Genomic DNA, 24,533 nt, shown 5'->3' with positions numbered 1-24,533 from the left:
AACTTCATTAAGTTGAACAGTGCTTCCTCCTACCACTAGTCTGAGCTGCTCTCTTGCTTTAGAAGTCTACATGTTCAGTGAAGTGATCCTTTGAATTATTGTTTTATTTGCCATATCATTCAAAAGAAATGACAGTATGGTTCATTTTAAAAATTTCCTTTGTGTCAGGTATTGCCAAGATCTGTTTATCGCTGTCATGTGGAAAAGGAAAATATGATGAGGCTTGAAATGTTCAAATGTGAAGTTTCCCTTTTCCCATTCAAATAAGGGCCAGCAACACATCAAAAGGCAAGATTTCATTTTCAGTGATTGATTTAGACAAACTAAAGCCTGCATAAATGCTGCATAAATTAGATACTGCTTAAAACCCGTGAATCATAATGCTTCTGAAAGGTAACAGACATATTGGAAACAGATCTTCTATCAATACTAATGGTGACATCAAGGACTATGATGATGGCAGTTTGGGCTTTCATAGCCTTTTTCCTTCCAGAGATCTCCAAAAATCTGTTTCCTGTCAACAGATATATCAGGAAACCAAGGCCACATCTGGCATTCACAGTGATTGTCATTGTGCTGGGCCACTCGGCTTCATCTCAAACCAGCAGCAGCCCCTCTAGGAAGTTCAGTTCCTTGCCACTTGGCAGAAATTGCAAAGGAGAATTCAGACAGATGCTTGTTGCTATGGGGATAAAAGTAGGGAAGAAAGCTCTTTAATGGAAACTGGTCTCCCAACATAAAACCCATCACTTTAGATAGGATTCTCTTTGGGCCCTCTGGGCGTCAGCCTGGAAGTAATTTGCAAAAAGTTGGAAATTGGAATGAGTAAGAGAACAATCTTTCAACATAATTTTACAGTTATATTCCTGTTGCATTTTTGTTTGAAAAATGTAAGACAGCTATTAATGACTAATAGAATCACCAATGTAATAGAATGTTGATAGCTTAGCATTTAAGAGAATGAGGTTGGGATTCAAAAGGACTGGCTTTCAAATCCTGCTTCCGCCACTGATGAGCTACATGGCCTTGGGAAAGTTATATAACCTCTTTTGTCTTTAGTCCTCTCATCCATATGATGAAAATAATCATGTTAAACTCAGAGACTTGTCAGAGAAATTAATAATAGTAATAAATATCAAGCATATTTCAAGCACCTGGCACAAAGACAAGATTAAAAATAGAAGGTTTTAATATTAAAATTGATTATTAATATTATTATAGTATTGTGATAATAAGACTGGGTAATAATGTTACCAGTCACTTATAAAGGTAGGTGTATAAATGTGTACTTTGAAAGACAGTAAAGAAGATTTAAAAAAAAGAGTGAAAGGTTTGAGATATTAAAACGGCTGTGCTGGAATGACTTTGACATAAGTAAATTTTTTAGGCAGTGAGCTATTTTTTTAAAACTAAGCTGAACATATTTTTAAACCAGACAGTAGGGTACTAAGGTAGAAGTCACAGATGAAAATCAATATGCTTTGCCAAAAATATAAATAAGAAAACTCATCAGCTGGAAAAAGCATTGCTACAATGTGCATGTTGCTTCCATCTGGAAGAAAAATGCTAGAAAGAAACTTAATATTCATGACTGACACATTTTCTTTGTGCTGTCAGTCAGCTGGAACAGAAATACACAGCTGGTTAGAAAGCCCATCTCTACTTCATGTTTCATCTGATGACCTTATACATCAAATCAAGAATTGTGGGCTGAAACAACATGCTTTATCCTGGTTTATTTTTTCAGAGGATGGTATAGTGATCCAAACCTGACACAATGTAACCTGTTTCCTTTCTTCATCTTTCAAGTTCATATCAGAAATCAACACTAGAATTCAAGAATATAAGTCCAATTATCAGCCCAAAAAATGAGGGAGGAAAAAAATACACACTTGGCCAAATATCTTATTTGCAGGTAGAGTAATTTGTCAAATAGAAGATTTACTTTTGTTTCCAGAGCACTGAAATTATGTAGATACATTTTAAAATCCATATTTTAAAAACTTGGCCACAAATATTCAGGAAATCTAAATATTGAAAAGAATCTTCATTGTTAACATATGTCTATTTTTTAAAGACTGTAAATTTCTCAAGTCAGATCCTATCTTTTATTACATAGTTTCCTAAAATTCTAACCTGCACAGAGGAATACTTATCAGATGTGTTTTGCATATACTTATAAGTTAAGAGTTTTAGATTTTCACATAGAAGGTGAGTGTCTTAAAGTTTTACTGTTTAATCAGTGATCAGGGATTGAAAAATGAATTGACACATGAAGGATGATATTAAAGCATCTGGATTTTTCAGAAAAAGAAAACCAGTGCTCCCTTGGCATTTGAGAACACAAAAGTTCTCACAAATGGAAAATCAGTAGAAACAAAAGTAGTCAGGTATATACATGCCAAAATCTTGCTCCATGATTCCATTCTTCCTTAGCATGTCACAGTAGTCAATCAATAAGAACATACTGGGTGATGATGACAAAACTAAAATAAAATGCATTATTATCTTTAAACAATATTTTGTAAGGGAGATAATTCTTAGAATCATACCCTTATTTCCTCCTGAGGGATTACTTAAAACTAGCATATAGGTCCCAGAGCATTGGCGTGGAAATAAATCCCAAGCTCTGTAGACTTCTGAGAATTGATTGTATACATTTTTGTTTTCCAGGATGTAGCAGACTCTAAAGATCCCAGGATGACAATATGTGGTTGTGATCCTGTGGTATAAGAGATTTAATTAGACATCAAATGTGCATCGTCTAATGATGGTTGTTTAAATTATCAGGTCACACACTGCAGTCCTCCGACCAGAAAGCTGGCAGGAAACATTGAGGTAAAAATACAGTAAATCTCCTTTTGACATAATGGGATGCAGAGAAATAACGTGCTACCATGGGCAGGCCCACCACTCACCAACCCTCCTTCTCTAATAGGCTGGGCTGTTTTGTATTTCACAGATGATTTCTGCTTATTCTCTGCCTCCCACCTACCAGGTCTGCTTGCCATCACATTTATCAATTTAATACCTTGGCTAATTTCACTCCAGAATAATGTTTCTGTTTATAGACGTCTAGCCTCTGTGGCAAGCAAAAGGTACCCGGGGGTTTCCAGGAAGCAATGGTAATGGATGCTGGAATGGTGAGGAGAACCTCTCCAATCAAAAAACAGCACCCACTTCTATTGCCTTGTCAGTCCTAGCCCTTGCAAAGTGGTGATTAGAATCCTTCTGTGTGCAGCTGTTCTTCTCAGTACAGCCTGTCGGAGTGAGAGGATACAAAGAGGGCACCTCATTACCAGGACTTTGAGACTGTAAGGGAAAGAATAACGTGAAATGAATCCTCTCAACTAAAAGGTCAAGGGCTATGAGGGTATGCTGGCGAGACGCAAGGTCACTCACTCCTCATGGCTAAGCAATTTGTTTCATTTTCCCCCATACTTCTAACTTACAAAGCATGGACCACACATGACCAAAGAGAAGCAACTGTTAGTCATCTCAACAAATTGGCGTGGTGCCGAGAGGGAAGGCAAAAGTTGCTGATTAGAGAAAGATTGATGACTGCGAATGTTTCCCAGGTATAAACCATCTGGGCAGGTATCTTTTAACTAAGATTAATAAACATATGCCACCACAAGTTTCTCATTACAAGAGGCATGATAATGCAGAATCAAAATTTTCTAGTCAAACTGCCAGGCTGCCACATTGCAAAATCTCTCCAGATAAGTGAAGCTCTGTGCTCACTCAGATAGGAAAACTTCCCCTACTGCACTTGAAATATTTTATCCTCAAGGTCAATAGTCCTCCTTCTTTCTGGAAAAGTGAACATGGACCAGAGGCCTCTCTGTCCAGGTCAAAACACAGGTTCTAAAATGTCCTCCCAACTGGCAATCTGTATCCATATGGACTAAAGGCAATGTCCTGGCCTTTAGGTTAATGCCTGAAGCCAAGTAAAAGACTATTTTACAGGCTCTTATAAGCAATAGATGGCCAGGGAGCTTGGAGATCAGCAATTTCCAAGGGCAACCACAGAGAAGTTGAAGACTATGGTGAGAAAAATAGGACGTGTTCTGATAAGCACCAGAGGGGGCGTCACAATGTCAACTCAAAATTTAGTTTTTTTCAAAATGTCAAGATGTGCTAGGGCTGTGAGCTCCCAAGAAGCCATCAGAACCGTCATTTCCAATTCAGAATGAAAGTATATTTCCATTATTCAGCTCAAGTGTGTAACTCCACCACTGAACATTAGTTTCAATCTTGCTGTGAAACCATGGGCAATCTCTTTTCACAAAGACTGCAAAGTGCTCAGAAAACAATCTCCTTGTCCAGAAAAGATGATTTTTACTTTTTCCATTTCTTTTAACTTGTAGTGAAATGACAATTATTTTTCATTTTAGACCTAGAGTAATATGTGTGTATGTGTTTAATATATACACTCACGTATATATGTATATAAAAGTATATGTATATATGCATGAACACATTCATATATAATGCAATGTATATGTTACCTATATATGGTATGGCACATTTGTGTGTATACTATTTATATATAAAATACATAAAGACACCAGTAAATAATAACCATATTAGTTTGCCTCATAAAACTATTACATTAATCAAAAGTAAACAGGCAAACCCTTAGCAAAGACTTACAGGAAGTCATCATTAATTGAAAACAGTTATCAGGGACAGAATGTTAAAGATCTAAAACACACGGCATTACTATGGGACAGCACAAACTGAAATCCAAGTAGATAAATGAGAAGGGCAAACAAAGGAAGAGGTGAACAGTGTTGTATTTTCAAGGTAAAGGTATCCTTTCTTGTTCTATAATACCTGGCCATACTTATAAAGGTTTCTCACATGAGAATGACAATGGGGGTATTATTTTTCCAAATAACACACATTACTTTTTATAGCCTGGTATATTTATGGTAAATAAACTTCATCCCATATGTCAAGTTTGATGGTTTTTTGTGGGTGCCTGGCCCCCTGTGTTTAGGAGGATTCTGAGGCTACATCTGGGCTCAGAGGGACCAGGGACAACCAACAAATAATATCTGCTGTGGCCACAAGACAGGAAGATGGAGATCACACAACTTGTACTTTCCATGTCTCACCCTATACCTAATAGGTACTTATATTAATCGTTTAATATTGACCATGAAGAACGGAAAATTAGCATGCAAACACTAAAAGATCCAAGGGTCAGAACTTAGAGGATGGTGAAAATTAGCACAGCAAATAGAAGCTTCCCAATGTAATAGAGGTTCGTCAAGATTCAATAGTTTGGAAAAATTATTCGCTGCTGTATGAGGGAGTCATCTCTCAACCTCAGTAGAATATATTTCATGTTGCAAAACTTGAGGATGTCGTCCTAGAAATAGTCACTAAGGGCTAAAGGAAAAAGAAGATTCCCCCAAACTGTATCTAATATCAGTGGGGGTTGGAGGGAGAAAAAGATCTCTAGAAACACTAATTCAGGACTAACAACTTAGAAAATCAAAGCACATATGTTCTCTTGTAACACTAAAGAATTTTATTACACATATAGGAGGTGGTACATCCAAGGGAAATGTTTAAATGTTTAGGTAAACATTTATCAGAATTTTGTGAGGGAATTAATTCATGAGGCAGCCAAAGTCACTCTGAATCAAGGCTGGGCATTTGAATCTTAGAATCACCTGTGAAGGTGACTGCTATCGAGACATATTATGCAAACCTTCCTGCACAGGATCCGAGAATGTGTATTTCATCATGGCCTCAAAAAAGTCTTATTTTTTAACAGAATGTCTTCTGAAGTTCTATTTGGACAGGCAAGATTTTGAAATAAATAAATAGATGGAAAATCATATTTGTGTGAATACTTGGCATAGTACTTAACATGCAGTAGAAACTTAAAAAATATTGGTTGACTCTGAATCTTAAGTTAGAATATTTTTGGACTTCCTAATGTTCAGTTTTTCTCTCATTTTCAACAGTCTATATATTTCATACAGCATGTTACTTAACATGAAGTAGAGACTCCACAAATATTTGAAACTCGAGTTAGTTTTTATGACTTCCTAATTTTACGTGTTATCCCCATTGAGTGAGTTCTTGGGACTTCATAAGTTTTTGATCATTTCCAACAATGACTATAAGTGCTGTATATAGTACATAAGAGGAGTGTGTGTGTGTGTGTGTGTGTGTGTGTGTGTGTGTGTACATGTGTGTTTTATCAGCAGATTGGGAGAAAAAGTTTGAAAAAATATAACAACCTAAGAAAATAAAATTCACTTGATGGACTCAATAGCAGAGCGCAGATGGCAAAATGAAGTTAGTAAACTTACATGTAGATCAATAATAAGTATGCAATCTAAGAAAAAATGGAGAAATTGAGAAATGCAACCAGTGCCTTGTGGACTCACAGGAAAATACCAACAAGTATTTGAGTTATTAGAATCCCAAAATGAAAGGAAAAAGCTTGGTGCAGAAAAATTACTTGAAGAAATAATGACCCAAAACATCTTGAATTTCATAGGAAACAAACTTACAGATTTAAGAAGCTCATAAATCCCAAGCAAGATAAACTTAAAAAAATTCCAACCCAGACACATCATAATCAAACTGCTAAAAACTAAGAGCAAAGAAAAAAATCTTAAAATCAACCTGATAAAAGTATTGTATTACATACATAAAGAAGAATGATTGAAATGGCTGGGTTTTTTTTTAAATCTAAACCACAGAGGCCAGGAGGCAATGCAACAACATTTTTTAAATGTTGAAAGAAAAGAACCCTCAATCTAGAAGTCTACATCAGCAAAAATATACATCAGGAATAAAGGTGAAATAAAGACATTCTCAGAAGAATGGAACCTAAGAGAATATATTATCAGCAAACCTGCTGTAAAATAAAAAAGTTATTTAAATAAAAACAAAATGATATGAGTGGGAAACCTGGAACTTCAGGAATGAAGGAAGAGCAACAGAAATGGCAGATAACCTGGTTAATATGATGGACTATTTTTCTCATGTTATTCTTTAAATATGAACGATTGAGCCATCAACCATTGGATCTAATATCCATTTCAATGATAACTGAAAGCAAAAATTGTAACATTGTCAGACTGGGGTTTCAATGTATGTAGATGTAATACATATGAAGACAACAAAATAAAGGGAGAAGGGCCAAAGGACCTCTATATTGATAAAATTCCCATATTCCACTTAAAGTAATAAAATATTAAGTCTAAATAGACTATAAAAAGTTAAGTATCTATATTATAATCCCTAGACAAACACTAAAAATCAATACAAAGAGAAATATTTAAAAACTGATAGAGAAACTTAAATGGAGTAACAAAAAATATTCAAGTAATCTAGCAGAGAGCAGATATGAAGAAAGAAAAGAATTAAAACAAACGGAACAAGCAAGAAAAAAACAAATAAAAATGGTAGGCCTAAAACCAAGCATACCAGTAATGAAATGTAAATAGTCTACACACCAATTAGAAGAAAAAGATTGACAGAATACAAGATCCAATTATATGCTACCTATAAAAAAACTACTTTAAATATAATGGCATAAGTAATTTAAAAGTAAAAGGATAAAAAATGTTACTCATGCAAACACTAATCAAAAGAAAGCTGGAGTTGTTATATTAATTTCAGGCAAAGTAGACTTCTAGACCAAGAAAATTACTGTGGATAAAAAAGGAAATTACATGATAATAAGAGGGTCAATTCACCAAGGACTCATAATAATCCTAAATGTGTATGCACCTAACAATAGAACTTCAAAAAACATGAAGCAGAAATGGATATAACTGAAAGGAAAAACAGGCAAGTCACAATTCAATATGTTCCCCTCATTTACCACTGTAACAAGTGAACAAAAATAAGCAGGGATGTAGAATTGAAAACACCATCAACCAATGGATCTAATTCCCATTTGTAGAACACTCCATAAAGAGTTGCAAAACTGCATACTAAAAATTACAGGCTGATGAAAGCAATCAAAGAATTAATAAGTGGCCTGATAGATCATGTTCATAGATAGATGACCATGATATATCAATATATTTCACTGCAGGTAAGATACAGTTAAGATATAGTTAAGATACCAATATAGTTAAGATACCAATTCAATATAGTGAATATACCAATTCTCCCCAAGTTGATCTATGAATTTAGTGAAATACCAATCAAAATCTCAGGAGGATGTCTCATAGATATAGGTAAGTTGCCACTAAAATTTAACTAGAGAGGCAAAAAAGCACAGCAAAACCAATTTGGAAAGAGATGTATGTTGGAGGACTCACACTATCTGATTTTAAGGCTTACTATAAGCTATAGTAACCAAGTCTATGTGGTTCTGGCAAAGGGATAGAAATGAAACATAACATAGAACCCAGAAATAGATCTGCACAAGTATGTTCAACTGATTTTTGACAAAGGTGAAAAAACAATTAAATGGAGGAATGATAGTGTCTTCAACAAATGGTGTTGGAGTAATTGGACATTCATGGGTCAAAAAATAAACCTTGACCTAAACCTGACTCCTTATATAAAAATTAACTAAAAAATGGATCAGCAAGCTAAATATAAAATGTAAAACTAGAAATTTACAGAATAAAACCAGTGAAAACCTTCCTGACTTTGAGTTAGGCTGAGAGTCCTTACAAAAGCATAAGAAAATCATAATAAAAATATTGATATATTTGACCTTATCAAAATGGAACATTTTGCTCTGAGAACAACACTATCAAGAGGAAGAACTGACAAGCTACAGTCTGGGAGAAAATATTTGCAAATCACATATCATTCAAAGAGGTGATTACAAAATACATAAAGAACTCTTAAAATGCAATGACAACTTAATTAGAAATGTGCAAAATATTTGAACAGACATTTCAGTAAAGAAGATATATAGATGAAAATAAGCATATAACATATCTCAACATTATTACTCATTAAGGAAATGCAAATTGAAACCACAATAGTATACTATCATACATCTATTAGAATGGCTAAAGTAAATACATATATACATACATATATAAACATACATACATGCATGCATAAAAGATAATGACAAATGCTGGGAAGGATGGGAAACAACTGTAATTTTCATATATTGCTGATAGGAATAAAAACTGCCACTCTGAAAAATACTTTGGCATTTTCTTAATAAGCTAAACATATATTTATCACTCCTGTGGTAGGAATGACATGACCCAGTCATCCTACTCCTCGGTATTTACCCCAGAGAAATGAAAACTTATGTTCACACTGAAACTTGTTCACAAATGTTTATAGTTACTCAGCCCATAATTGTTAAAAACTGGAAACAATCCAAATCTCCCCCAACAGGTGAATAGATAAACAAACTGTGGGGCATCCATACAATGGAATGTTGCTCATTAATAACACAGAACAATTAAGATACACAGACAACTGAATGGACCTCAAGGGAAATATGCTATGTGAAAAAAGGTCATTTCAAATGGATTCATATTATGTGATTCCAAATTTAGGACATTCTGAAAAGACAAACTATAGTAATGGAGAACAGATCAGTGGTTACCTAGAATTGGCATGATGCAAAGGTTTGATTAAAAAGGGTAGCATGAGGGAGATTTTGGGAATTATGGAACTGTTCTGCATCTCAGTGGTGGAGGTTGCTGCAAGAATCCATACATGTGCTAAAACTCATAGAATTGTACACCACAAAAGGTCAATTTGACTATATAAAAATTTAAAAATAATTTAAAAATTAAGTCTTTTACAATCATATGTATAATTATCCTAAATTTGTAATGCCTTCCCATGCAAGTATGTAACTTTTATTCAAGCAAATGCGTTTTGCCTATACAGATAACTGTTGATCTGTGTAACCACCAATAGGAGATCCTTATAATTTAGTGGAAGAAATACATGATTTAGGGGCAAGCCTGAATTTAAATTTTTGCCCCAAAACATATCCATTTATTAGTTAATATTTACGGTACACCTACCACGTGCCAGGTGTATGCCAGGGTCTGGGGAAAGATAAATAAAGCAGATGGTTTGACATTAAGGAATTTACAAACTCATGAGGGAAACAGACACAAAGCAGATAGCACTAGAGTAGATAAATAAATGTAATTATAGACCATGGTAAGTGCTACCAAGAACTGAACAGGGAGATGAACATGGAACTGGAGCAGAATGGGGTAGGTGCTGCTTTAGTTAGAGGGTCTGAGAAGAATGGGACATTTGAGATCTGAAGGATGACAATGAACCATTCACGCAAAGGGCTGGCGAAAGAGTGTTCTGTTGCAGAGAGCAGCAAGGGGAAGGGAACGGAGTAAGAAAGGGTCCAGTGTGTTCCAGGAACAAAAGAAGAGGCAATGTGGCTGCAGTGCTGTAAGGGGTGGAAAGGAGAGAGGTGAAGTAGTCACACCCTGTAGAGCCCCCTAGGTTATGGCACAAAGTTTAGTTGATTTTAAGGGCAATGGAAAGCCATAGGTTTTTGTTGTTATTATTGTTTCTTTAAGCAAAGGAGCAGCCATGATCTGGTTTATATTACCAATGTCATCTTTAGAAAGTGCTTTTAACTCTGAATTTCAGGTTCTGCATATGCGAAGTGAAGACACTACTTACAGAGCAATATTTCTGTGAGAATTTTATGTATATGTGTATGTCCAGAATTGTGCAGGTTCCATAGTAGGTGCTCAATAAAATATGGGCTTCCTTTCTTTCATGTATCTCTTTGCCTCTTTTTGTGTGTGTATGCATGTCTCTTGTTGCTTTCCTGTTTGCATGAGTCCCTCAGTTTGGTGTTGTTGTTGTTGTTGTTGTTCCAGCCCATGCTGCGCTTATCTGTCTGACCTTGGAAGGAGAATCTCGGCAGGTACTCAAGCACAAGGCACAATGAAAGCCTTTGGTTTCTGCTATCTTTTGCCCACTTGCAACAGTGGACCAGGAGACAGGCAGCTCAGATTCTATTTGGTTGAACCACGTGAAATGGCTATTTTGGGAGATCATGACCAGTAGAATCAGGTTGAACCAATTTCACATAGTTCAGTTTTGTAGCACTCTAAAGTGTGATTTTGACTGATCTGAGTTATTTCTTCATTTGCCAAAGATTTCATTATTTTTGAGACCCATTTACTGCTCTACATTCTGATTCTAATCAAGCCATGTTCATCAAAGGCACACCCTTTCTCACTAGCATAGGTTAGCATCCATCTCTCTAGCAGACTGCCTCTGTCACTAACAAATTGCCAGGAGGCTCTTTTTGGAGTCACATCATCAAAATTCAAAAGAGAAACTTTTTTTTTTTTAGACAGGGTCTCACTCTGTCGCCCAGGCTGGAGTGCAGTGGCGTGATCTCAGTTCACTACAACCTCTGCCTCCCAGGTTCAAGGGATTCTCCCACCTCAGTCTCTCTAGTAGCTGGGATTATAGGTGTGTGCCACCATGCTCATCTAATTTTTTGTATTTTTCGTAGAGACAGGTTTTCACCCTGTTGGCCAGGCTGGTCTTGAACTCCTGACCTCAAGCGATCTGCCTGCCTTGGCCTTCCAAAGTGCTGGGATCGCAGGAGTGAGCCACTGTGCCCAGCCTAAGAAACTTTTTTGAATACTGATTTTTACATTAAAAGCATTTAATCCCTGTTATATTTTTATGAGGAACATTTTAGGGTTTCATTTCATGGAACACTGTTTCTATTACTTCATTGAGGAAGGGCTTGGCAGAAGGTACAAAAGAATTAGAGAGTCAAGTCTAACTAATACAGTGAGTTGATATGGGTCTTGTTTGCATGTTCAATTTGAGGCACCTAATTTATAGTTCCTTGAGGATAATATATAAGAGCCATAAAATGCATTTTGAACAATATTTTCAGCTGACTAATTAGTTGTTTGAAATAGAAATCTATTCTCCACTAATTTCTAAGCAAATCCAACTCATTTTATCTGCTCACAAAAAATAATGATGACATTATCATGCTCTTGTTGAACACTATTCTAAAATTGTCCCACAACATCCTATGTGTGTGTGCTTGGGTATAATAATATATATTAGCATATGTTACTTTATCCAGTTCTCTACCTCTCAGCTAAGAAAAATAAAAATATGAAAATAAAAAAAGTTATAAAGCTCAAGGACCCAATTCCTGATGAGCAGGCTGCAATTCTTTCTCCTTCCTCCCTTCATTGCTACATCTGCCAACCCCACTTCTGGAGGCAGTCTTTCAGCCAGATAGGTCAGTCAAGTAGGTCATTTATTTCTCAAGGGGTTTTGTTACTGTCATTAATCTCTTCTCAGATTCTCACAAGGAGATAAAGCAGATATTGATACAAATAAACACGCAACTTATTTATTTATATCAAAGTTCCTTTTTTTTTTTTTTCTCAGCAAGAAGTGAATTTCAGCCTCAGCCACCAATCTCCCAATAGTGATGAATCAAAGAGCTACAGCTGGGAGAGCTCAAAAATATGAAGATCAAGAGAGGCCTCCAGGACCTCATGTCCTCTGCTCTTTCTTCTGAATATTTCTTTCTTCAGGGTATTGTTATTAAACTGATTGAGAAGTGCTGGGGTGCAGCACCGTGAGAGTTTCTGAAGATCAATGACACACCAAATATAATGGTTTTAAGGCACTCTCTTTTCAAACTAATCAATAACAGCTTTCATGTGATCTTACGATGCAAGATCACATCACTTCCGGGCTCTGTTGAATCACATCTTATCTTCCTATCTAAGAGTCCTCATGGCTGAAAATTGCATTGCTCAGCCCCCAGTAAAAGGAAATGGTTTATATTGTCTCAAATTGCCTAACAAACCTGAAGTGGCTCCATCCTGTCCATAAATGAGGGTGTCAATGACCAAGCCCCTGGAAGACATTTTCCTCCTTACATAAGGCAGAAAAAAAAAAAAAAGCTTTATTTTTCTAATGCCCCATAGTTGAGGAGGGGAGAGGACCACAGTAATCAGTTGTAGGATTCACAATTTCTTAAGAGAAAAACAAAAACTGTTTTGAATATGAAACTTAAAGCAGTAACAAAAATCAAGACAAGGTAAGGAAGTAGCAGAGATTTCTGCGGTTATGAAACACTAAAACACTGGATAAAAATAAAAAAAATTCAGCCAGCCTCCTGATGTTTAGTTTGTAGGCTGTCAAATGCCCTAATAGATTGAGAAGTAAGAAAAGCAGTCATAACGCAATATAGGGACAAATCAGCCCAGTTCAGGAGCTCAAAGATTAGTCATAGCTGTTGTATTCCTAAGAAAGAAATGGCCCTAACATACATCCTTAGTGCATTGAGACAGTCAGGGTTCAGCCAGTTCCATAATTCTGTTTTTATATTTTTGTGTCATGTTCATGAATCTTCCTAAGATGCTTGGTTCCTAAGACTCTTTGTTCCTTGAACAAACAATGTGCTCTATTTTGCCCTCATTTAATCACATTGTTCAAAATAATTTACTCAACTTATTTGTGAATTATTTCAGGTCCAGTGCCTCTGCTTGTTCTTATAGATGAGAATTTCTGGCCTCTCAGAGTTTATCTTTCTTGCCACAGATAACGGCTGCTCATTTTCTTTCCCTCCCATGATAATACAGATCCAGAATTTCCCACTTGAGGTATTTCTGGGAGGAGGAGGCTTTTCCTCTTTCTACTCAGAATGAGTGATTTTAAGTGAATGTCAGATGAGCCTTAAAATGGGCCTGCTGGGTGGGCAGAAAGGTTCTCCTCCCTCTCTGCTCACCATTGGAGTTAAAGGACTATGTAAAATCAAACTTTTCCTTGTACAGGCAACCTACAATCTTAGTATGGATAATTTTATCTCAGGGCAAGGATAAGCAATGAAAAAGCCAGGCACGGGGAACTTAAGGGCAAAATAAATGGGACAGCACTAAGATCATGAAAGAGCATCACATTTGCCAACTGAACCCGCCAGCTCCATTTCCCTGTATCACAACTTGTCCATTTCTAGTCCAAATCCTTGTTTAATAAAGCCTCCCAAATTCCAAATCCCCCTTAGTATTTTCACAATCTCAGAGCTGGCAAGTGACCACCTAGCAGCCCACAAGCCACACCCATATGCAAGGAAAGAGTCCAAACCAAACCCGATTAGGAACAAAGAAAAGTTATCTTACTTAGCACTGGTCTGATGTGTTCATGGCGACTGTTTTGGAGAACAAGGAGAAAATCGGTAATCCTTAACTCTGGGATGATTTTTGCCTCCTTCAGTTTCTTAAATAATTCAGCAGCCTTCTTTGCTTTAAGATTAACGTATATAAACAGAGGAAATGGGGGGCAGCCTCTGGGCTAGATTGGTAAATTGATTGTGTTCTCTGAAGAAAACCATCAGACTCTGGAAAAACACCAGTGCAGCTGATACAAACATGAAAGTTCACAATAATTTCAGATGCAAATATATCACAAAATATGCCTTATCATTTCTATGTGTTTTCCTAACAGATCTCGGAGTTTATATTAAGGCTAAGTGGATGTCAGGCATGATATAATTTGGGGGGAACATATTTATGAAAATAAGATTACTCTTTCAGGGTTTCAGTCCCTGATTTTTCCTTCAAGGTTTGACAACCGACTAATAACAATGCCAATAAACACCAACAATAACGTATTTGTCATTCCTCTGTAATAGCTAAGTGGAAGCAATTTTAGCTAAACATGATCATCTCTTGGAAACAAGATTTGGATTTACAAGAAATGAAAAAAAGGTTCACGTTTTCCTTAATAATGGGAAAGAGATTATTTTTGAGGCCCAAAGACAACATAAGTTGTTTTGAATTGGGCTTCATCTCATTATTGATATATTTTCATTTGCTGAACTGCAGCAGAGTTATGATCTGCCCTGGTTTCCTGTTGAGAGTTTTATCTTTCCATTTTTATAGTACATGCCTTTTCAAAAGAGTAAACTTCCAGAGCAATTTGTTTAAGAAGATACAGCTACTGAATATCAAGATCAGTGAGGAACTGTCATGAATACACTACAGCTTTTCCTGAGAACAAAGCTTCGTTGTTGGCTCTTCAGCTGTGATAGCATTTTGAAGAATTTGGCTCAAGCCTGCTATGTAGAGTTGGGCAGGTTGTTCACTTCACAAGGGCATCTGGCCAAAGGGGGCGAGGGGACTGAAAGCCAGCTCATGCTTTGCTCACCCAACTACGTGCCCTGGCTTAGGGCTGTGTTCACTTGGAAGACGTGTAGTGCCTTTCCCTAATTCACACAGAGGCACTTTATGGGCCAGTGGCAGCCCTATTTAGCTTGGCAGCTAACATGGAATAGGAAAATTCCAAAATGTGAAGATTAATTTTTGCTCTGTAAAGGGCAGGAAGAAGAGAGTATCTCCACAAGGAAAATGGGGGAATTGGAGAGATGGAAGAATGAGCGTCTTCATAGTTAGACAGACACAGCTATCTGCCTCTGGATGCATTAAAATGGACTGTTCTAGGCTCAGTTTCCACATCAGTAAATTGGGTGTAATAATGTTTATGCAGTAAGGTAAAGTATATAATCTAGTTGCTGGCTCTTAATAGGCCTGAGATGCTTGGCAGCTGTCATTGGTGTTGCTGCTGCTGCTGCTGTTTGATTGGGCTGCAAATTTATCCTTCCTCACACTTCCCAGTAAGAATGTCCTTCTGCCAGACCAGCTTGTCCATAGACACATGTGCAGCTAGGAATACTCAAGAGGTGAGGACACTAGCTCAATTCCACTCTATCTTCTGCCTGCTATACACATATAAGAAGGAGGCAGAGGCTTTAACTTGCCCTCCTCAACAGCAGCTAGAAGGTGCTCCAGAGAGAGCTGACTTCTTATCCTGTACTAGTGTTCTCAGCCAGAGGTCTGAGAGAAGTCTGTGAACCCATATAATTATAGGAAATATTTGAGGGTACATGAGTCTTTGCAGTTGTCTGGAGAGTGGATCTCTAGCATTCACTCAATTCTCAAAATGCCCCCAATCCAAAGTTTAAGAACTATAAGAACTATAGCACTAGATTAAGGGAGGAAATAGGGAAAATGTTAGGGAAATTACTTCTTCCCTACCCCAGGATATGGAGGTCTTATCTGGAGTGAATATGTCAAGAACTGCCTTGTCCAGCTCCTTGCCTCCTATTTATCTCTTTTTATAAGACTTGGGCTGGCCAACTAAGGCTGCTGGTTCCTATTAATACACGAAAACTACGACTAACCTAAGCTGACGCAAACACTTGGCATAACACCAAAAGTGCTTACTACTGCTTTCTATAGGTGCCATCAGTCTCTCTGCATGGATCCTTCAGCTCTACTCTCCATCTTCCCTCACAGCTTCTGAGTCTCTGATACCTGTTCACTTTTTTCTTTGGTACTTCCCCTCTCTCCCAGTTCTGTTTACAAATCCAGTTCTGAGCCTTGCCTTAGGAACTGTGTTCCAGGTCTGCCACTGAGATCCATCTCCTCCATGCCCTCTGCTCACTCTGCTTTCTAATTACCTTGTCCTAGTTCTTTGCTCTACTCACACTGACAGGATCAAGCCAAGGCTTTTAAAAATAATCATGCCATTCAGCAATACATTCCACTAACAGCATTCCAATCTGGTCATAGGTTATGACCTATCTTGACTTCTTTCCAGTCTCTCAACTTGAAATGTGATCTTTGTGAGGTAGTCACACAGATGCAAATGCCTCCAAATATAAGCATTATAAATAAGAACAATGTTTTTTTTTTTTTTTTTAAGTAAATATACATGCTTAATCTTGGGACAAGCCCCAAAGCCAAAGAGCCATGAGTTGTCTCACCATGTTCACTGGTCTGACCTCATTTTCACTTTTGCACAGCATGTGAAGGACTCCTCCACTCTACGTTTCCACCTTGAATCTCTTTTTAGACTCTGAATTTCCAACAACTGTCACATCATCTTGGCACGTATGTCCTGCTCGCTACTCATCCACAAAATGTCCAGATCCCTCAATTCATGGTCTTCCCTCCACATGACCTCCAAACTCAAATGTATTTTTTGCACTATATTCACAAGGATCCTTCTCAAATGTAGCTCTCATATAGTTGTTGAGCATCTCAAAACATTTCAATAACAGCCCATTCCCATAGGACAAATTCCTATGGAAAAAATTCTGGTTCCATTCCCACAGAAGGAATTATTATTATTATTATTATTATTATTATTATTGATACTTTAAGTTCTGGAATACATGTGCAGAACTTGCAGGTTTGTTACATAGGTATACATGTGCCATGGTAGTTTGTTGCACCCATCAACCCGTCATCTACATTAGGTATTTCTACTAATTCTATCCCTCCCCTAGCCCCCCACTCATCAATAGGCCCCAGTGTGTGATGTTCCCCTCCCTGTGTCCATGTGTTCTCATCACTCAACTCCCACTTATGAGTGAGAACATGCAGTGTTTGGTTTTCTTTTTCTCTGTTAGTTTGCTGAGAATGATGGTTTCCAGCTTCATCCACGTCCCTGCAAAGGACATGAACTCATCCTTTTTTAAGGCTGCATAGTATTCCATGGTGTATATGTGCCACATTTTCTTTATCCAGTCTATCATTGATGGGCATTTGGGTTGGTTTCAAGTCTTTGCTATTGTGAACAGTGCTGCAATAAACATATGTGTGCATGTGTCTTTAGAGTACAATGATTTATAATCCTTTGGGTAGATACCCAGTAATAGGATTGCTGGGTCAAATGCTATTTCTGGTTCTAGATCCTTGACAAATCGCCACACTTCTTCCACAATGGTTGAACTAATTTACTCTCCCACCAACAGTGTAAAAGGGTTCCAGTTTCTCCACATCCTCTCCGCCGTCTGTTGTTTCCTGACTTTTTAATGATCACCATTCTAACTGGTGTGAGATGGTATGCCATTGCGGTTTTGATTTGCATTTTTCTAATGACCAGTGATGATGATTTTTTTTCAAATGTTTGTTGGCCACATAAATGTCTTCTTTTGAGAAGTGTCTATTCATATCCTTCATCCACTTTTTGATGGGGTTGTTTTTTTCTTGTAAATTTGTTTAAGTTCATTGTAGATTCCAGATATTAACCCTTTGTCAGGTGGATAGATTGCAAAAATTTTCTTCCATTGTGTAGGTTGCCTGTTCACTCTGATGATAGTTTCTTTTGCTGTGCAGAAGCTCTTTAGTTTAATTAGATCCCATTTGTCAATTTTGGCTTTTGTTGCCATTGCCTTTGGTGTTTTAATCATGAAGTCTTTGTCCAGTCCTATGTCCTGAATGGTATTGCCTAGGTTTTCTTCTAGGGTTTTTATGGTTTTAGGTCTTACGTTTAAGTCTTTAATCCGTCTTGAGTCAATTTTTGAATAATGTGTAAGGAAGGGGTCGAATTTCAGTTTTCTGCATATGGCTGTCCAGTTTTCCCAACACCATTTATTAAACAGGGAATCCTTTCCCCATTGTTTGTTTTTGTCAGGTTTGTCAAAGATCAGATGGTTGTAGATGTGTGGCATTATTTCTGAGGCCTCTGTTCTGTTCCATTGGTCTATATATCTGTTTTGGTATCAGTACCATGCTGTTTTGGTTACTGTCGCCTTGTAGTATAGTTTGAAGTCAGGTAGCATGATGCCTCCAGCTTTGTTCTTTTTGCTTAGGATTGTCTTGGCTATACGAGCTCTTTTTTTGTTCCAAATGAAATTTAAAGTAGTCTTTTCCAATAATGTGAAGAAAGTCAGTGGTAACTTGATGGGGATAGCATTGAATCTATAAACTACCTTGGGCAGTATCGCCATTTTCATGATATTGATTCTTCCTATCCATGAACATGGAATGTTTTTCCATTTGTTTGTGTCCTTCCTTATTTCCTTGAGCAGTGGTTTGTAGTTTTCCTAGAAGAGGTCCTTCACATCCCCGTAAGTTGTATTCCTAGGTATTTTATTCGCTTTGTAGCAATTGTGAATGGGAGTTCACTCATGATTTGGCTCTCTGTTCGTTATTGGTGTATAGGAATGCTTGTGATTTTTGTACATTGATTTTGTATCCTGAGACTTTGCTGAAGTTGCTTATCAGCTTAAGGAGATTTTGGGCTGAGATGATGCAGTTTTCTACATATACAATCAAGTCATCTGCAAACAGAGACAATTTGACTTCCTCTCTTCCTATTTGAATACGCTTTATTTCTTTCTCTGGCCAAAGCTTCCAAAACTATGTTGAATAGGAGTGGTGAGAGAGGGCATCCTTGTCTTGTGCCAGTTTTCAGAGGGAATGCTTCCAGCTTTTGCCCCTTCAGTATGCTATTGGCTATGGCTTTGTCATGAATAGCCCTTATTGTTTTGAGATACGTTCCATCAGTACCTAGTTTATTGAGTGTTTTTAGCATGAAGGGGTGTTGAATTTTATTGAAGGCCTTTTCTGCATCTATTGAGATAATCATGTGGTTTTTGTCATTGGTTCTGTTTATGTGATGGATTACATTTATTGATTTGCATATGTTAAACCAGCCTTGCATCCCAGGGATGAAGCCAACTTAATCGTGGTGGATAAGCTTTTTGATGTGCTGCTGGATTTGGTTTGCCAGTATTTTACTGAGGATTTTTGCATCAATGTTCATAAGGGATATTGGCCTGTAATTTTCTTTTTTTGTTGTGACTCTGCCAGGTTTTTCTATCAGGATGATGCTGGTCTCACAAAATGAGTTAGGGAGGAGTCTGTCTGTTTCTATTGTTTGGAATAGTTTCAGAAGGAATGGTACCAGCTCCTCTTTGTACATCTGGTAGAATTTGGCTGTGAATCCATCTGGTCCTGGGCTTTTTTTGTTGTTAGGCTATTAATTATTGCCTCAATTTCAGAACTTGTTATTGCTCTATTCAGGGATTCGACTTCTTCCTGGTTTAGTCTTGCGAGGGTCTATGTGTCCAGGAATTCATCAATTTCTTCTACATGTTGTAGTTTATTTATGTAGAGGTGTTTATAGTATTCTCTGATGGTAGTTCGTATTTCTGTGGGATCAGTGGTGATATCCCCTTTATCATTTTTTATTGTGTCTATTTGACTCGTCTCTCTTTCCTTTTTTTGTTAGCCTGGCTAGCAGTCTACCTATTTTGTTAATCTTTTCAAAAAACCAGCTCCTGGATTCACTGATTTTTGGAAGGTTTTTTCATGTCTCTATCTCCTTTGTTTCTGCTCTGATCTTAGTTATTTTTTGTATTCTGCTAGCTTTTGAATTTGTTTGCCTTTGCTTCTCTAGATTCTTTTCATTGTGATGTTAGGGTGTTGATTTTAGATCTTTCTGCTTTCTCCTGTGGACATTTAGTGCCGTAAAATTCCCTCTAAACACTACTTTAGCTGCATCCCAGAGATTCTGGTATGTTGTGTCTTTGTTCTCGTTGGTTTCAAAGAACTTATTTATTTCTGCCTTCATTTCGTTATTTACCCCATAGTCATTCAGGAGCAGGTTGTTCAGTTTCCATGTAGTTGTGCAGTTTTGAGTAAATTTCTTAATCCTGAGTTCTAATTTGATTGCACTGTGGTCCAAGAGACTATTTGTTATGATTTCCATTCTTTTGCACTTGCTGAGGAGTATTTTACTTCCAATTATGTGGTCAATTTTAGAATCATTGCGATGTGGTGCTGAGAAGAATGTATACTCATTTGATTTTGGGGTGAAGAGTTCTGTAAATGTCTATTAGGTCCACTTGGTCCAGAGCTGAGTTCAAGTCCTGAATATCCTTGTTAATTTTATGTCTCGTTGATCTGTCTAATATTGACAGTGGGGTGTTAAGTTCTCCCACTATTATTGTGTGGGAGTCTAAGTCTCTTTGTAGGTACGTAAGAACTTGCTTTATTAATCTGGGTGCTTCTGTATTGGGTGGATATATATTTAGGATAGTCCTTCTTGTTGTATTGATCCCTTACCATTATGTCATGTCTTTATTTGTCTTTTTTGATCTTTGTTGGTTTAAAGTCTGTTTTATCAGAGACTAGGATTGCAACCCCTGCTTTTTTTTTTTTTCTTTTTTGCCTTCCATGTGCTTGGTAAATCTTCCTCCATCCCTTTATTTTGAGCCTATGTGTGTCTTTGCACGTGAGATGCATCTCCTGAATACAGACACCGATGGATCTTGACTCGTTATCCAATTTGCCAGTCTGTATCTTTTACTTGAGGCATTTAACCTGTTTACATTTAAGGTCAATATTGTTATGTGGGCATTCAATTGTGTCATTATGATGTTAGCCAGTTACTTTATCCATTAGTTGATGCAGTTCCTTCATAGTCTCGATGGTCTTTACAATTTGGTAAGTTTTTGCAGTGGCTGGTACTTGTTTTTCCTTTCCATGTTTAGTGCTTACTTCAGGAGCTCTTATAAGGCATGCCTGGTAGTGACAAAATCTCTCAGCATTTGCTTGTCTGTAAAGGATTTTATTTCTCCTTCGCTTATGAAGCTTAGTTTGGCAGGATATGAAACTCTGGGTTGAAAATTCTTTTCTTTAAGAATGTTGAATATTGGCCCCCACTCTCTTCTGGCATGTAGGGTTTCTGCAGAGAGATCCACTGTTAGTCTGGTGGGCTTCCCTTGGTGGGTAACCCAACCTTTCTCTCTGGCTGCCCTTAACATTTTTTCCTGCATTTCAACCTTGGTGAATCTGACAATTATGTGTCTTGGGGTTGCTCTTCTTGAGGAGTATCTTTTTAGTGTTCCCTGTATTTCCTGAATTTGAATGTCGGCCTGTCTTTCTAGGTTGGGGAAGTTCTCCTGGATAATATCCTGAAGAGTGTTTTCAAACTTGGTTGCATTCTCCCCGTCACTTTCAGGTACCCCAATCAAACGTAGGTTTGATCTTTTCACATAATCCCATATTTCTTGGAGGCTTTGTTCATTCCTTTTCATTATTTTTTCTCTAATCTTGTCTTCATGCTTGATTTCATTAAGTTGATCTTCAATCTCTGATATCCTTTCTTCTGCCTGATCAATTCAGTTATTGATACTTGTGTATGCTTCACGAAGTTCTCGTGCTGTGTTTTTCAGCTCCATCAAGTCATTTATGTTCTTCTCTAAACTGGTTATTCTAGTTAGCAATTCCTCTAACCTTTTTTCAAGGTTCTTAATTTCCTTGCATTGGGTTAACACATGCTCTTTTAGCTTGGAGGAGTTTGTTATTACCCACCTTCTGAAGCCTACTTCTGTCAATTTGTCAAATTCATTCCCTGTCCAGTTTTGTTCTCTTTCTGGCAAGGAGTTGTGATCCTTTGGAGGAGAAGAGGCATTTTGGTTTTTGGAATTTTCAGACTTTTTGAGCTGGTTTTTCCTCATCTTCATGGATTTATCTACCTTTGGTCTTTGATGTTGGTGACCTTTGAATGGGGTTTTTGTGTGGACGTCCTTTTTAATGATGTTGATGCTATTCCTTTCTATTTGTTAGTTTTCCTTCTAACAGTCAGGCCCCTTTTCTGCATATTGGCTGGAGTTTGCCGGAGGTCCACTCCAGACCTTGTTTGCCTGGGTATCACCAGAGGAAGCTGCAGAACAGCAAAGATTGCTGCCTGTTCCTTCTTCTGGAAGCTTCATCCCAGAAGGGCATCCGCCAGATGCCAGCCAGAGCTATCCTGTATGAGGTGTCTGTCAACCCCTGCTGGGAGGTGTCTCCCAGTCAGGAGACACAGGGGTCAGGGACCCACTTGAGGAGGCAGTCTGTCCCTTAGCAGAGCTCGAACACTGTGCTGGAAGATCCTCTGCTCTCTTCAGAGCTGGCAGGCAGGAATGTTTAAGTCTGCTGAAGCTGCGCCCACAGCTGCCCCTTCCCCCAGGTGCTCTGTCCCAGGGAGGTGGGAGTTTTATCTATAAGCCCCTGACTGGGGATGCTGCCTTTCTTTCAGAGATACCCTGCCCAGAGAGGAGAAATCTAGAGAGGCAGTCTGGCTACAGCAGCTTTGAGGCGCTGCTGTGGGTTCTGCCCCGTTGGAACTTTCCAGTGGCCTTGTTTACACTGTGAGGGGAAAATTGCTTACTCAAGCCTCAGTAATGGTGGATGCCTCTCCCCGGACCAAGCTCGAGTGTCCCAGGTCGACTTCAGAATGCTGTGCTGGCAGCGAGAATTTCAAGCCAGTGGATTTTAGCTTGCAGGGCTCCATAGGGGGCTCCATAGGGGGCCCACTGAGCTAGACCACTTGGCTCCCTGGCTTCAGCCCCCTTTCCAGTGGAGTGAACGGTTCTGTCTCACTGGCATTCCAGGCGCTACTGGGGTATGAAAAAAATAAACTCCTGCAGCTAGCTTGGTGTCTGCCCAACAAGCCACCCAGTTTTGTTCTTGAAACCCAGGGCCCTGGTGGCATAAGCACCCAAAGGAATCTCCTGGTCTGCAGGGTGCAAAGACCATGGTAAAAGCATAGTTTCTGGGCCTGAATGCACCATTCCTCATGGCACAGTCCCTCAGGGCTTCCCTTGGCTAGGGGAGGGAGTTCCCCCACCTCTTGCACTTCCTGGGTGAGGTGACACACCCCTCCCCCACTTCAGCTCACCCTCTGTGGACCCACTGTCTAACCAGTCCCAGTGAGATGACCTGGGTACCTCAGTGGGAAATGCAGAAATCACCCACCTTCTGTGTTGATCTCGCTGGGAGCTGCAGACTGGAGCTGTTCCTATTCGGCTATCTTGCCAGGAATTTCAACAAAGAAAATTTCAAACTTCTTCCATTCCCAAAAAAGAAAATCAAAACTTCTCAAGATGGCAATCAATACTGTAATCTACATGAGAGGAAGGACCATGTTTTGGCCAATATTACAATAACTTGCAGAAATGTTCTTCTTATTGAAGGCTTATTATATACCCATTCATGAACACTGATGTACTTATATAACTTCGGTGGATTTCTTAACATCCCTTAGTCATTGTTCAAAGAATGCTTCTAGCCCCATTGCTCACAGAAGGTGCTTAATAAATATCAGTTTATTTCCTCATACCGTTGCCCTTAGAACAAGTTTTTCAATAGATAAGTCCAACATGATCTTTGATTTATTGCTATTTATTGTAAATATATTCATATTAAAATATTCTGAGTATTAGATAATCAAGGCCCAACAAAAACATGGCTTTTTTATTCTGGGGCCCATCTTCTGCCTTTGCTCAATATAACCTTGCTCTCTTTGCTCTTCTTTAATTGAGTTTGCTTATAGAATAGCACTGGAATCTATAATTCCTGGTCTTGGGATGCAGTGGAATGAGGCATATTAAAACCTCTATTAAAATAAGGCAAGCCCCTTTGACTCTCAAAGATGCATCTCCAGACTGGGAATGGGCAGGAGGCCCGAGGCAGCTGGTGTAAGTAGCCCCAACTCTGATAGCTCTGCAAGTTTCACTTCCTCTTTATGCATGTATCACTTTGATTTCCAAGGCCCACACCAACGTCTCAGCTGCCAGATGCATTCTATTTCCCATATAAAACCCTGGCCCCATCACAAACCCAGATAGCTTCCTTTGCTATCCCTTAGCAAAGCTGAAATGCTGTGGAATTAAAAAATAAAGACCAAATATGAAAGAACAAAGATACAAAACAGTACCAGAAACATAAACTCTGTCATGATTA

General features: G+C 38.1%; 1 protein-coding gene across 1 annotated transcript in view; it reads right to left on the bottom strand.

Moving 5' to 3' along the window:
- HS6ST3 (heparan sulfate 6-O-sulfotransferase 3) overlaps nt 1–24,533 on the bottom strand; it is a 749,456-nt gene that overhangs the window by 43,083 nt on the left and 681,840 nt on the right. The window lies entirely within an intron of this gene.

This window comes from Homo sapiens, chromosome 13, assembly GCF_000001405.40.
Source record: "Homo sapiens chromosome 13, GRCh38.p14 Primary Assembly".
NCBI lineage: Eukaryota > Metazoa > Chordata > Mammalia > Primates > Hominidae > Homo > Homo sapiens.
This window is presented reverse-complemented; position numbering and strand designations above follow the sequence as displayed.